At 34.7% G+C, this 12,830-nt stretch overlaps 1 protein-coding gene across 1 annotated transcript in view; it reads left to right on the top strand.

The window, feature by feature from the left end:
- Positions 1–12,830, top strand: part of CDH9 (cadherin 9) — a 157,990-nt gene that overhangs the window by 38,124 nt on the left and 107,036 nt on the right. Inside the window, exon 2 of the mRNA NM_016279.4 lies at positions 12,081–12,357. Within this exon, the coding sequence (NP_057363.3) occupies positions 12,130–12,357 (228 nt within the window). The 5' untranslated portion in view covers positions 12,081–12,129. The remainder of the gene's footprint in view (positions 1–12,080; positions 12,358–12,830) is intronic.

Genomic DNA, 12,830 nt, shown 5'->3' with positions numbered 1-12,830 from the left:
GTAGAATCTTCCAAATAGTTTTCCAAAGTGGCAGTATCATTTTGCATTCTCATCAGCAGCGAAAGAGTTACTGTTGCTCCATATCTATGACAGCATTTGAAATTCTCAATTTTTGGATTTTCACCATTCAGATATAATAGGTATGTCATAGCATCTTGTTTTAATTTGCAATTCACTAACTGCAAAAAATTTTGGCCATTTTTATGCTTATTTCTCATATGTATATCTTCTTTGGTTAGATATCTTTGCAGAACTTTTGATGATATTTTTGTATTCTTATTGTAGAGTTTTCAATGTTCTTTTTATATTTTAGATAAAAGTCCTTATCAGATATGTGTTACAAATATTTTCTTCCAGTCTGCCTTATCTTTCCATTCTCTTAACACTGTTTTACACAAAAAAATAAGTTTTCAATTTTAACAGAATCCATGTTATCATTTTTTTAATGAATCATACTTTTAGTGTTGTATCTAAAATTCATCGTCAGACCCAAGATACTTTTGGCATTTTGAGTTTTTTCTAAAACTCATTGCCAAACCCAAGGTCATTAAGATATTCTTCAGCATTTTCTTCGAGAAATTTTGTAATATTTTTATCTGCATCATAAAGCAAAGGATAGGATTTGTTTTCTGGGAAGACAAAGTCCTTTTGTCCTCTGAAAAAGCCTCCTATACAGTTGGAAAAAAATAAAATTTGTAATTTTACATTTATATCTAGGATCCATTTTGTGTTACTTCAAGTGAAAAGTGAAAGCTCTCTGCATATATTTATTTTCAATTTTTTTGCATATGGATGCCTAGTTTTTTCAGCACCATTTGTTGAGAAGATTATTCTTTCTACATTGAATTGCCTTTGTCCCTTTGTCAAATGAGAGTTGACAGTATTTGTGTGGGTCTAATTCTGGACTCTATTCTATTTAATGACCCTATCGTCTGTTCTTTCTGCAATACCATGCTATCATGATTACTGTACCTACATAGCAAGTTTGGAAATTATTTTGCTTTGTTTTTATTCATAACACTTGGTAACATTTGCCATTAAATTTATTATTTGTTTTTCTTCTGCCACTATCTCTATTGAATAAGAGTATCTGCTTAACTCACTGCTATCCTTATATGAAGAGAAGTCATTGCATATGGCATGATTTGTATCAGCTTTGGAGAATGAATATGATAGCTCATGTATATTTATTTTTCCTTTATTTTTATTTATTTTTATTTTTTTTTAGACGGAGTCTCGCTCCGTCACCAGGCTGGAGGGCATGATCTCGGCTCACTGCAACCTCTGCCTCTTGGGTTCAAGTGATTCCCCTGCCTCAGCCTCCCAAGTAGCTGGGACCACAGGTGCACACCATCACACCCAGCTAAGTTTTGTATTTTTAGTAGAGACAGGATTTCACCATGTTGGCCAGGATGGTCTCGATCTCCTGGCCTCTTGATCTGCCCACCTCAGCCTCTCAAAGTGCTGGGATTACAGGCATGAGCCACCACGCCCGGCCTCATGTGCGTTTTTAAAAGACATAGATGCATATCTTATTTTGTTCCCTTTTTTAATAACTTTTTAATATATTAATGATATTGACTGATTCTTCATAAAATCTTGTGTAATCTTAAGGGAAGTCCACTCAGATGGTAGGATGTGGTGAAATTGAATACTTCTGTCTTTTACATCAGCTTAATTACTCCTTCCCTTATAAAACTTTCTTTTCCTCTGATTTTCTTTTTTTTTTATTATTATACTTTAAGTTTTAGGGTACATGTGCACAACGTGCAGGTCAGTTACATATGTATACATGTCCCATGTTGGTGTGCTGCACCCAGTAACTCATCATTTAACATTAAGTATATCTCCAAATGCTATCCCTCCCCCGTCTCCCCACCCCACAACAGACCCCGGTGTGTGATGTTCCCCTTCCTGTGTCCATGTGTTCTCATTGTTCAATTCCCACCTATGAGTGAGAACATGTGGTGTTTGTTTTTTTTTGTCCTTGTGATAGTTTGCTGAGAATGATGGCTTCCAGCTTCATCCATATCCCTTCAAAGGACATGAACTCATCATTTTTTATGGCTGCATAGTATTCCATGTGTATATGTGCCACATTTTCTTAATCCAGTCTATCATTGATGGACATTTGGGTTGGCTCCAAGTCTTTGCTATTGTGAATAGTGCCACAGTAAACATCAGAGTGAATAGGCAACCTACAGAATGGGAGAAAATTTTTGCAATCTTTTCCTCTGATTTTCCATAGGTTCACAGACCCCAATCTGTTGTGTATAGAAGCCCTGTTGGGCATTGGTTGTTTCTATTGCTCAAAGGCAAGTATTAACACATGGACTTATGCTTATATGCTGGGTGTGGAATGCCCTTGGCTTTATTATAGTCCAATTTCATGCTCCATATTATATATTTTGGCATATCAACTTTAAAACCTTTTCTATAGTTTCTAGTGTTTAAAAACATTAACCAATCAGGCATGGTGGCTCACTCTTGTAATCCCAGCACTTTGGGAGGCCGAGGAGGGCAGATCATGAGGTCAAGAGATCGAGACCATCCGGGCTAACATGGTGAAACACCTTCTCTACTAAAAATACAAAAATTAGCTGGGTATGATGGCATGTGCCTGTAGTTCCAGCTACTTGAGAGTCTGAGGCAGGAGGATCGCTTGAACCCAGGAGGCAGAGGTTGTGGTGAGCCGAGATCACACCACTGCACTCCAGCCTGGAGACAGAGTGGATTCCATCTCAAAAAAAAAAAAATTACCATTTGTTTGTGATAATAACAAATTCTACTTGCTCCATCACTAATAGCTTGTTAGCCAACAATCTTAAACATGTCAGCATGTCAGGACCATAGACAGCTTTCTCTTAACTGTTGCTTTTCCATCTCTGGCACTGATTAAAATGATTTGCTCATAAGGTATATGTTCAAGTTAAAATATATACAATATTATATCACTCTCCATTTTCTGTTTTTTTCTTTGTGTTGTTTTATTCTAAAGCTGCATTAGTTCAATAGATATAATAGTATCTTGGCCATCTCCAAGATGGACATCTTTGCAATGGAAGACCATATACAATTTTTGATTCCCTGGATTTCCATTCAAGGGGCCAATCCAATATTGTCAGAAAAATTGCTTACGTTTATCCTTTAAATTGAAAGTGGACATATATACACACACACACACACATACATATATGTTTATACACACACACATATGCATCTCAGAAAACAATCGATCCTTGTTTATTTATTAAACTAGCTCCACCATCATTACAGACAACAGTTAATTTTCTCATATTCTGGCAATGGGTTGTTTCTAAGTCTTTATATTCTATCATTTCATATATTCTATACATATCATATTTTATAATATATGATGTTATTTTTATTTTGATAAACCATTAGCAAAAGGTCATTCAAGAGCTTCTCTTCTGATACTAGATTTTTTGCCTTAGGGAAGGCATGAAACTAAATTTTTTAAGCTGGACATTTGATGGTGATAGCCATTGAGGATTGCTTATATGAAGATGGCAGCTCATATTTCTGCTAATTCTGTTTTCCTTAAACTAATTTTACACCACTAATTTGGATAAAGATAGTATACCAAATTACATGCCAGCACTTGGGCACAGAGTTCTTAAAAAATCAGTAAATGGTTTTAAAAAGCATATCCATATCTATATCTATATATAAATCTATAGATATAGATATAGATATATAGAGATATAGATATATATGTTAAGCTTAACAAACTAGTGATTAAATATGTATATATTTATACATGTACACATATATGGTTATATAATAAATGTAACCACTATTAATTAATAAGAAAAAATAAATTTAAGCATATATCCCTCAAAAGTTATTTGATTTTAGAAGATACATCATTTTGGTGTCACTTATATTTATAGAATGTGTTCTTTATATATGTGTTATTTGCTTACCTAAGCTGTCAAGACTTGTCTCCCCAACTGGTATGAGAGACAAAACAGAGTATTGGAAAATCACAGGAATCTAGGAATCAAACAACATATGTATGACATTTTCCAAAACCACAAAATTATTGGGTGATGAGAAATCATTTGTTTCATCTATCCAAACCTCAGAAATATTATTTGAAAAAATATTTAAATTATATGACCGTATCACACAGTTTTGTTTTGTTTTTGCATTTTGAAGATCAATAGATTAATGTATGTTGAAGTTCATTATTGATCAAAATAGTATGATAATATTAAAATTAATCACAAACACTTGTGTTATTTGTACATTTCAGCTGAGAAACTTTGTCTGAAGAAAAAGATTAGAATAATTAAAATACCTTATCTGAGTTAAAACTTCTGTAAGTGTATATGTGTAGGTATAGAGAGGAGAAAGCACATAATTTAATTTAATTTTAGATGTGCATTTTATATGCTGAAAATCCTATTTAATTACAGTAATTCACCTTTTTTGACATACAAATATTTAATAGCAGACATTTTTCTCAAATATAATTGGAATATAATTAAGAGAGCAAAGGAATAATAATGAAACAATTTTCAGTTTTTAAAGTTAACAAGATTTGAGTGAGTTCCCTGATTACAAAATCAAAGTTGAGCCACATTTAAAACATTGTACTTTATAGTACATCTGATAGTATTTATTTATCAACAAAAATGTGATTAAAATGCAAAGCATTTAATGCTGACAAATAATTAGGCATAGAAAACTTAGTAATCAGCTTTTCCCTATTGAATAAGTAATATGAAGAATTTTTAATAAATCCAATGGGATAAAAAGCTTGCTATCTTTAAAATAAAAATGCAACAGAAAATCCTTTTGGGTGTGCACTTTTGTCCAAAAGCAGAGGAATGTACAGGTGTTAAATTGGCCCCAAGAGAGTTGTACTGATGTTCTCTAAATGAAAAATAAATTTATAAAGAATTATGAGAAAAATAAAGAAGATATACCATCAAAGGACTACATAGTTGAAGCAAACATTCTGTAATTTATACCAATCGTGTTGTGAAGTTTATACAGAATCTCATGTTATGCAAATTTTTATGAGAATTACTCTACATCACTGCAGATTTTATCCCATTTGTTAGGGGAAAAAAACCCTGAATGTTTTCAAAAGGCCTATTTTCTCCCAGTTCAACTCTTTCTATTTCTCTATCAGTTTGTTTATGCACTGGAATGTTAAGTCAATGTCATACATGATCCGAGGCTCAAAGTAGTAATTATTTATATTAGGCATTAATGAATTAACCAATTAATTTTTGCAGATACATATTAAGTGCTGACTGCATGTCAATAACTTTTATGCAAGACACAATACCTTGCAAACTATTTAACCACTATATGTGTTACATTTAAACTAGTGGAAACAGTCAATAAGCATATAATCCATTAAATGAAAGAGATAATAAAAGTAGTGGTAAATCATGTGAAGGAAATGAATGGATGGTATAACAGAAAGCAATAGAGACTAAAACGGGGTAAGCTATTTTTCAAAAGGTTGTTCAGAGACTTCCCCCAAAACAGAATATAATATAAAAACTGAAAGAATGAGGAGATGGCTATGGATGAGCGAGATAAGATAGATGCAGGTTAGAGCATGAGCAAAGGCAAGAAGTCCGTGAATTGGGCAAGTGCTTAAAACACATAGGAGGTCTTCAAGTTGGCACATATGGAGCAATATCACTTTGTTCTAGTCAGTCCATGCTGCTATATCAAGATACCATAGACTGTGTGGCTTAAACAACAAATTTTTATTTCTGAAAATTCTGGAAACTGGGGAATCCAAAATGAATGCACCAGCAGGTCTGCTGTCTGATGACAGCACTCTTTCTGGTTTACAGACAACCATTTTCTCATTGTATCTTCACATAGCCAAGAGCAAAAAAAAACAAAACAAACAAACAAACAAACAAACAAACAAAAAACAAAACGAAACAAAAAAAACAGGAAAAAAAGCTCAGGTACCTTCATGTCCTTTTAAAGGGACAAATCTCATCATTAGAGACTCCACTCTCATGATCTAATCTAACCTTGGTATCTCCTAAAGGCCCCACCTCCTAATACTATCAGTCTGGGGGTTAAGATTTTAGCATATGAATTTTGATGGGCCACAAATATTTAGTCTATAATAGTCTACCCTAGTTCTCCCATGTCCTTTTCACATATAAAACACATTCATTTCATCCCAATAGGCCCCAAAGTCTATACTTATTCCAACATCAACTCTATGAAGTTCAAAATCTCATCTAATATCATGTAAATAAGATATGGATGAGACATAAGGTATTATTTATCCTGAGTAAAATTTTTGTCTACATATGAACCACTGATAGCAAGCAGGTAATGTGCTCTCAAAATACAATAATGGGATAAGCAATGATAAGATAAACATACTTATTCTAAAAGGGAGGAATAAGAAAGAAGGAAAGGATGACAGGTCCAAAGCAAGTTTAAAACCCAACAAGGCAAACTCCATGAGATTTTAAGCCTTGAGAATAATCCTCTTTTGCTTAGTGCTCTGCGGTCCAAGTCCACTGGGGCAGTGGTCTCACTTTCTGAACCTCCTGGGGTGGCAGTCCCATCCCCATGGTTCTGGGTGACCACCCCTACCCTGAAGCCCTGTGAAGAAACTATCTGGCATGTTGAAAGTGAGGCAATAGTCCCTCCTTTGAAACCAACAACACATACCTGAATTATCTTTCGAGTCATTCTTCTCTTGTCTTGAATAATAGTTCTTTTTTTTTTTTTTTTTTTTTTTTGCAGCTGAATAGCTGTAGGGAGCTGGCCTATAAAATCCAAGAAATCCACCAGCCTTCTTTCATTCCTTCCCATATCCTTCTTCTTCACTTCAAACTGGCAGCTTTCCTCCTGGGCTGTCATATTAAGTCTATGGTTCACACCCCTACTAACCCCTTTATCAAAAGACATTTAGCCACATCTTTAGTATTCACTCTCAAATACTTTCTCATTTTTGCAATATGAATAGCCTGAAAATTTTTCAGATCTTTAAACTTTGTTTTATTCTTGCTAAACAATTTCATTTTAAGTAATTTTTGTGTCTCACATTTTACTATAAAGAGAAGCCAATATGCTCCTTCAACAATTTTCTTAGAAATCTCTTTAGCTATGTATTCTATTTCACTGCTCCCAAATTCTACATTCTGTAAAACACTGGAACATAAACACAATTTAGCCAAGGTCTTTTCTACTTTATAACAAGGATACCCTTTTCTCAAATTTCCAACAATGTGTTCCCCATTTCCATCTGGAAGTTCACTAGAATGGCATTTACTGTCCATATTTTTATCAACGTTCTGTTCCATGTTACTTAGATATGCTTTTTTTTTTTTTTTTTGGAGACGGAGTTTCACCCTTGTTGCCCAGGTTAGAGTGCAATGGAGCAGTCTGATCTGGGCTCACTGCAACTTCCGCCTCCCGGGTTCAAGTGATTCGCCTGCCTCAGCCTCCCAAGTAGCTGGGATTACAGGCATGCGCCACTACACCAGACTAATTTTGTATTTTTAGTAGAGACAGAGTTTCTCCATGTTGGTCAGGCTGGTCTCGAACTCCTGACCTCAGGTGATCCGCCCGCCTCGGCCTTCTAATGTGCTAGGATTACAGGCCTGAGCCACCACGCCCGGCCATTATTTAGATATTCTTGAAGAAGATTAAGCATTTCTCTATTGTTCTCTTTTCTTTCTATGACCTCACCAGAATCATCCTCAATGATCTATTCATAGCAATGCAGTCCTTTTCCTAGCATGCGCCTTAAAACTCTCTCAGCCTTTACCTATTATTACCCAGTTCCAAAGCCACTTCCACATTTTTAGATATTTGTTATAGTAGCAACCCACTTCTGGTACTAATCTTAGTTTGTGCTGCCATAACCAATTATTTTACTAGGTGGCTTATAAACAGCAGAAATTAATTTCTCACTGTACTGAAGCCTGGGAAGTCTAACATCAAGCAAGGCATGGCAGATTTGGTGTCTGGTGAGGACCAGTTTCCTGGTTCATAGATGGCCATTGTTCTGCTGTGTCTTCACATGGTCAAAAGGCAAGAGAACCCTCTCATGCCTCTCTTACAAGGGCACCATCTCATTCATAAGAGCTCTACCTCCATGACATAATCAACTCCCAACAGCCCCATTCCTAATATTATCACCTTGAGCAGGGCCCCCCAACCCCCAGTCTGCACACCAGTACTGGTCCCTGGTCTGTTAGGGACCAGGCTGCACAGCAGGAGGTGAGCAGCAGGCAGGAGAGCATTACCACCTGAGCTCTGCCTCTTGTGAGATCAGCAGCAGCATTCAATTCCCACTGGAATGCAAATCCTATTGTGAGCTGGGCGTGCAAGGGATCTAGGTTGCGTGCTGCTTATGAGAATCCAGTGCCTGATGATATATATATACATTTGTACATATGCATTTATATATTCATCTGTATACGTATCCATATCTATATGTAATGTATATGTGTGCGTATGTATTCAAGTCATAGTATAAAATCATTAGAACCACTTTGCTCCCTATTTTTAATTATGCCCAAATGGTGTTGGTGATAGAAGTATAAAAATTACTTCTTTATTTTGACCAAGAATAAGAAAAGAATGGATTCTTTATTTTTCCAATAGATCCACTTTTCTCCTGATATAAATGACACTCAAGAAATCACTCAGTCATCCACCTAGTTCATAAATAATCTAGAAGTTACACCTTATTTTTATTTTTTCTTCACCCTCCATAACCAATATATAAGATGATATTATCTACTCTTGTAAATATCTACATATGTGAATTAGATCCACATATTAGTTCTGATTTCCCAGAAACAAAACCTGAGACAAGGATTTTTGGGCAATTGATCAGTTAAAAATTTTGTTCCAGGTAAGGAATTTCAGGATTAAGTGGAGTAATAGGACAGGGATGGAAAAGAAGCCAAACAAAGGTATCAAAATCCCAGCTTCATTACGATTCTGTAGGAAAGCTCTAGAACGTAGATAATATGTTGAGTTTCATACTGTGGCACCTGTTGCATACTGGCAATGGGATATTACAGATGTCTGTAAACTTGCAGCACGTTAGGCATCCTGTGCATGTGGGCAAAGTGGTTCCAGTAGCCAAGGGAAGTTGTTCAAAGACAGTTGCAGGGGCAGACCATTAGAAGCAAAAGCATAGAAAAATTGTAGTGTATGGAGTGTGGGTGTGTGGCCACATTAAAGGATCAAAGGGAATCTGAGCAGCGTTTCAGTGTCTACTTCAAACCACTTCTCTATATGCCTTCATCATCTCTTACCGGACTAGAAGTAAAAGACCCTAACTGATCTCTCTCTTAACCAAATCGCTTTCCTGCCCTCTAACCTATTTTCTAGTCTGCACCAGTTGATCTTTTCTAAACATATAATGTTAAAATCTTCCAACTGCTTTCAATCGCACTGAAAATGAATGAGAATTTCTTACTGTAGTTTATAAACTCCTATGGGATCCTAGCCCCTGCCTAAGTCTATTGCCCCATCTCATAAAACTAGATTATTCCGCTCAAAGGCCTATGTTCCACACAAAATGGGCATCATAGTTAGAACTGACCCCAGGAAATGGAGAATACCCTTTGATTTCTCTGGCAAGGGTTATAAGCAAGGTCAATGATCAAAACAAATTCTACCAGTGGGAAGAAACCAGGGTAACCAGTGTGGTCAACTAAGGAGTTTGTTGTATTTTATCAAAGTAAGATAACAGCTGTCCTTGAGATTCTCTGGCTGTTCATTTTCCACTACAGCATCACTCAGCTACAAAACATGGGGCATGTTCTGGGCCAGTGACCACTAAGTGTTACTCTTCCATTGCACATTTTTCTAAGCATTATTTAACATTTTAAATTTCTGATATCTAATTCCGGGTTTTATATTGGCTGTGGTCAAATTTACCAATTATTCCACAGTTTACAGGATTACAAATAGCCACATAAAGTCCTGATGATAATAACCATGACCTGAGATTTCAGCATTGAAAAATGGTGTAATTTTGTATTACTGTAATTCTGGAACTTAACCATATATATGTATTAAGAGCAGCATATATTTGTAACCATATGTTTGCATTAAGAGCTAAGAGTGACCAATTTTTAAAATAATAGGCATGGAAATCAAGGTACATAGATGTGTTGGACAGAACCTGTAGCTCTAGACCATAGCAAGAATCTATAATACCACCTGCCAATTACCATTCTTCTTTCTGCTGAGTTGGACCCATGTCTCTATGCCTATAATATGAGCAACGATGCTTGATGATGACAATGATAATGATGATGGTTGTGATGATCATGATGATAATGCTAATATGTTGAGTTTTGTGCTAGCACTGTGATAACTCTTCTACATGCATTGTCTTATATTAAAAACGGTGTTTAAGTCTGTGTGTCTGAAACCTGGTTCTAATACTTATTACTTGCATGACTTTTGTCATGTTACTTAAACTCATCACACCTCAGATTTGCTATCGTCAAAATAAAATAAGTCACTGCAATGTACACGACTATTACTTTGTATTGATAAAAGTGTAAAATAAAATCAACAACAATACCTTGTGGGTCAGGTATTAATGAAGACCAAGTGATATAGGTCCGTATTTGAAAATATCACAGACAGTAGGGCACAAAGCCAAGCTAGATCCTTATATTTGACCTTTATACCTTGTTATTCCCATTACTGAATTCATAGATGCTTGGTCCAACATTGGGTTTCTGGCTTAAACAAGGTAAATCAGAGTCCATTCCCAGGATTTTTAAAACTCCAATTAGAAAAGACTATCAGTTGCTTTTTGAAATTGAAGATTTTATATCTGAATTCAGGAGATATTATCACCCACACAATTTATTCAGGTTGAGGGGGTTTAGTCAGGGTGAAAGAGAAAATGAAAGAGAGAGAAAGAGAGAGAGAGAGAGAGAGAGAGAGACAGAGAAGAGAGAGAGAATATAATACTCAAGCCCCTAATTCTAGTTTTCATGATAAGGAAATGCCGAACTGCTTCTTTGCTCCTTTTGTTATTTTCTTTTCCACACTTAATTTGATTGTATAACCCAATGACTTTTTTGCCTACTAGTTTGAGATTAATTTCCATTGCTTAATAGATCATAGCCATTATCATCTCACATCTTCTAAATTAAGTATCATACAAATTAAAACCAATTTGATAACAAATAAAATCAATTCTGAAATACCAAGTGAACAATGATTTTCATCCAAGAATAATCAACTTATTATATTAACAGGGAGACATTGTTTCAAAATTCTGGATCAGATTATCCTATACGTAACATGTGTTATCTAATTTTGCAATATCAAGTTTCAATGCTATTTTTTTCTTATTATTTTAGGAAATAAATTTGTTCTTAATTACCATGTAAAATGCTTTTATTTAGAGCGTGTACTCCTCAGTCTCAAATAAATTTGAGTGTCCTACTAGATTAATTGTTGGAAAAAAATAGTTATTGATTGGAAAAGATCGACATGGTGCTAAGTATTGCAAGACACAATCCTAAGTATATTTGGTACCATATAATTTGCCTTGAGGCAACATTTCAATCTGATGGATGAGGAGGATTGTAAAGAGGAAGATAGGGGGCAGAGGAGAAAAACAGTTTACTAAAAATGATGGATTATGAGAAGTACTCTTTAAAATATGTAATTTCATACACGTATGTATATGTTAATAAATATTCTACTTTTATTAGTCTTAAGGACTATGGAACATTTGCTGTGATAATATGTATGCTGTAGAACTTATTTTTCAAAATATTTAGTGTTTTAAATTACAAAAATATTAATATGTATCTGATTGTTTTATAGTAATTTTAAATTAGCTGCTAAATTCCTGTTTAGTCTACTTGAGTTGTATATGTCTTTCTACTTATCTATGTGATAAATGAGTTTTTCATGACCGTTCACTGATATAGAAATATAATGTATATATAGTACATAATAAAATTTAAATAATGTCTGGAATAAGTATTTCAGTTTACACGTTGTGGGAAAGTGAAACTCAAGCTAATACAGCCATTTTTTTTCTCCTTACTCTTTAGGAAAAACAAACAATACATTGAATTTGACAACCCACTGAAGTTGCAGATAATGAGGACTTACCATTATATACCATTATTCATCTGGACCTATATGTTCCATACAGTTGACACCATCCTATTACAAGAAAAACCTAACAGTTATTTATCAAGCAAAAAGATAGCGGGTCTGACAAAAGATGACGGTAAAATGCTACGTCGCACCAAGCGTGGCTGGATGTGGAATCAGTTCTTCTTATTGGAAGAGTACACAGGTACTGACACACAATATGTAGGCAAGGTAAGAATTTTTGTATGAGAAATCTAAAAGCTGAAAGTGACAGCTATTTATTTTTTTCCAGCAACTTTTCTTTTCACTAGTGATTATTAAAAAATATTTAACTAATTATGTTCTGAAGGTGTGATATTGCAAACTATTTTAGTGGGGAAGAACAAGGAACCATATTTGGGTTCTAAATGTAAATCAATGTCAATAATAAGCGTAAACTACTAAGTCATATGTGGATGGATGTGATTCATTATTAATCAGCTAGATATTATTTAATCATATGTGTATTATCTAAATAAAACTCTCCTTGAGATCGATTGATAGTTTTTCATAATTAGGAATAGTGTACTCTGTATGAGAAATAAAATACTTCTAGATATTTCTATTTCTTAATATCTGCTAGGGTGAGCTTCCTGCTTCCTGCTTGTAATCTAGACAAAAGTGTTTAAGGCAGAAGGATAAAGACAAGATTTAAAAAAATGAGA

The sequence above is a fragment of the Homo sapiens genome, chromosome 5, assembly GCF_000001405.40.
Source record: "Homo sapiens chromosome 5, GRCh38.p14 Primary Assembly".
NCBI lineage: Eukaryota > Metazoa > Chordata > Mammalia > Primates > Hominidae > Homo > Homo sapiens.
The sequence above is the reverse complement of the archived record's forward strand: the minus strand, read 5'-3'. Positions and strand labels throughout refer to the sequence as shown.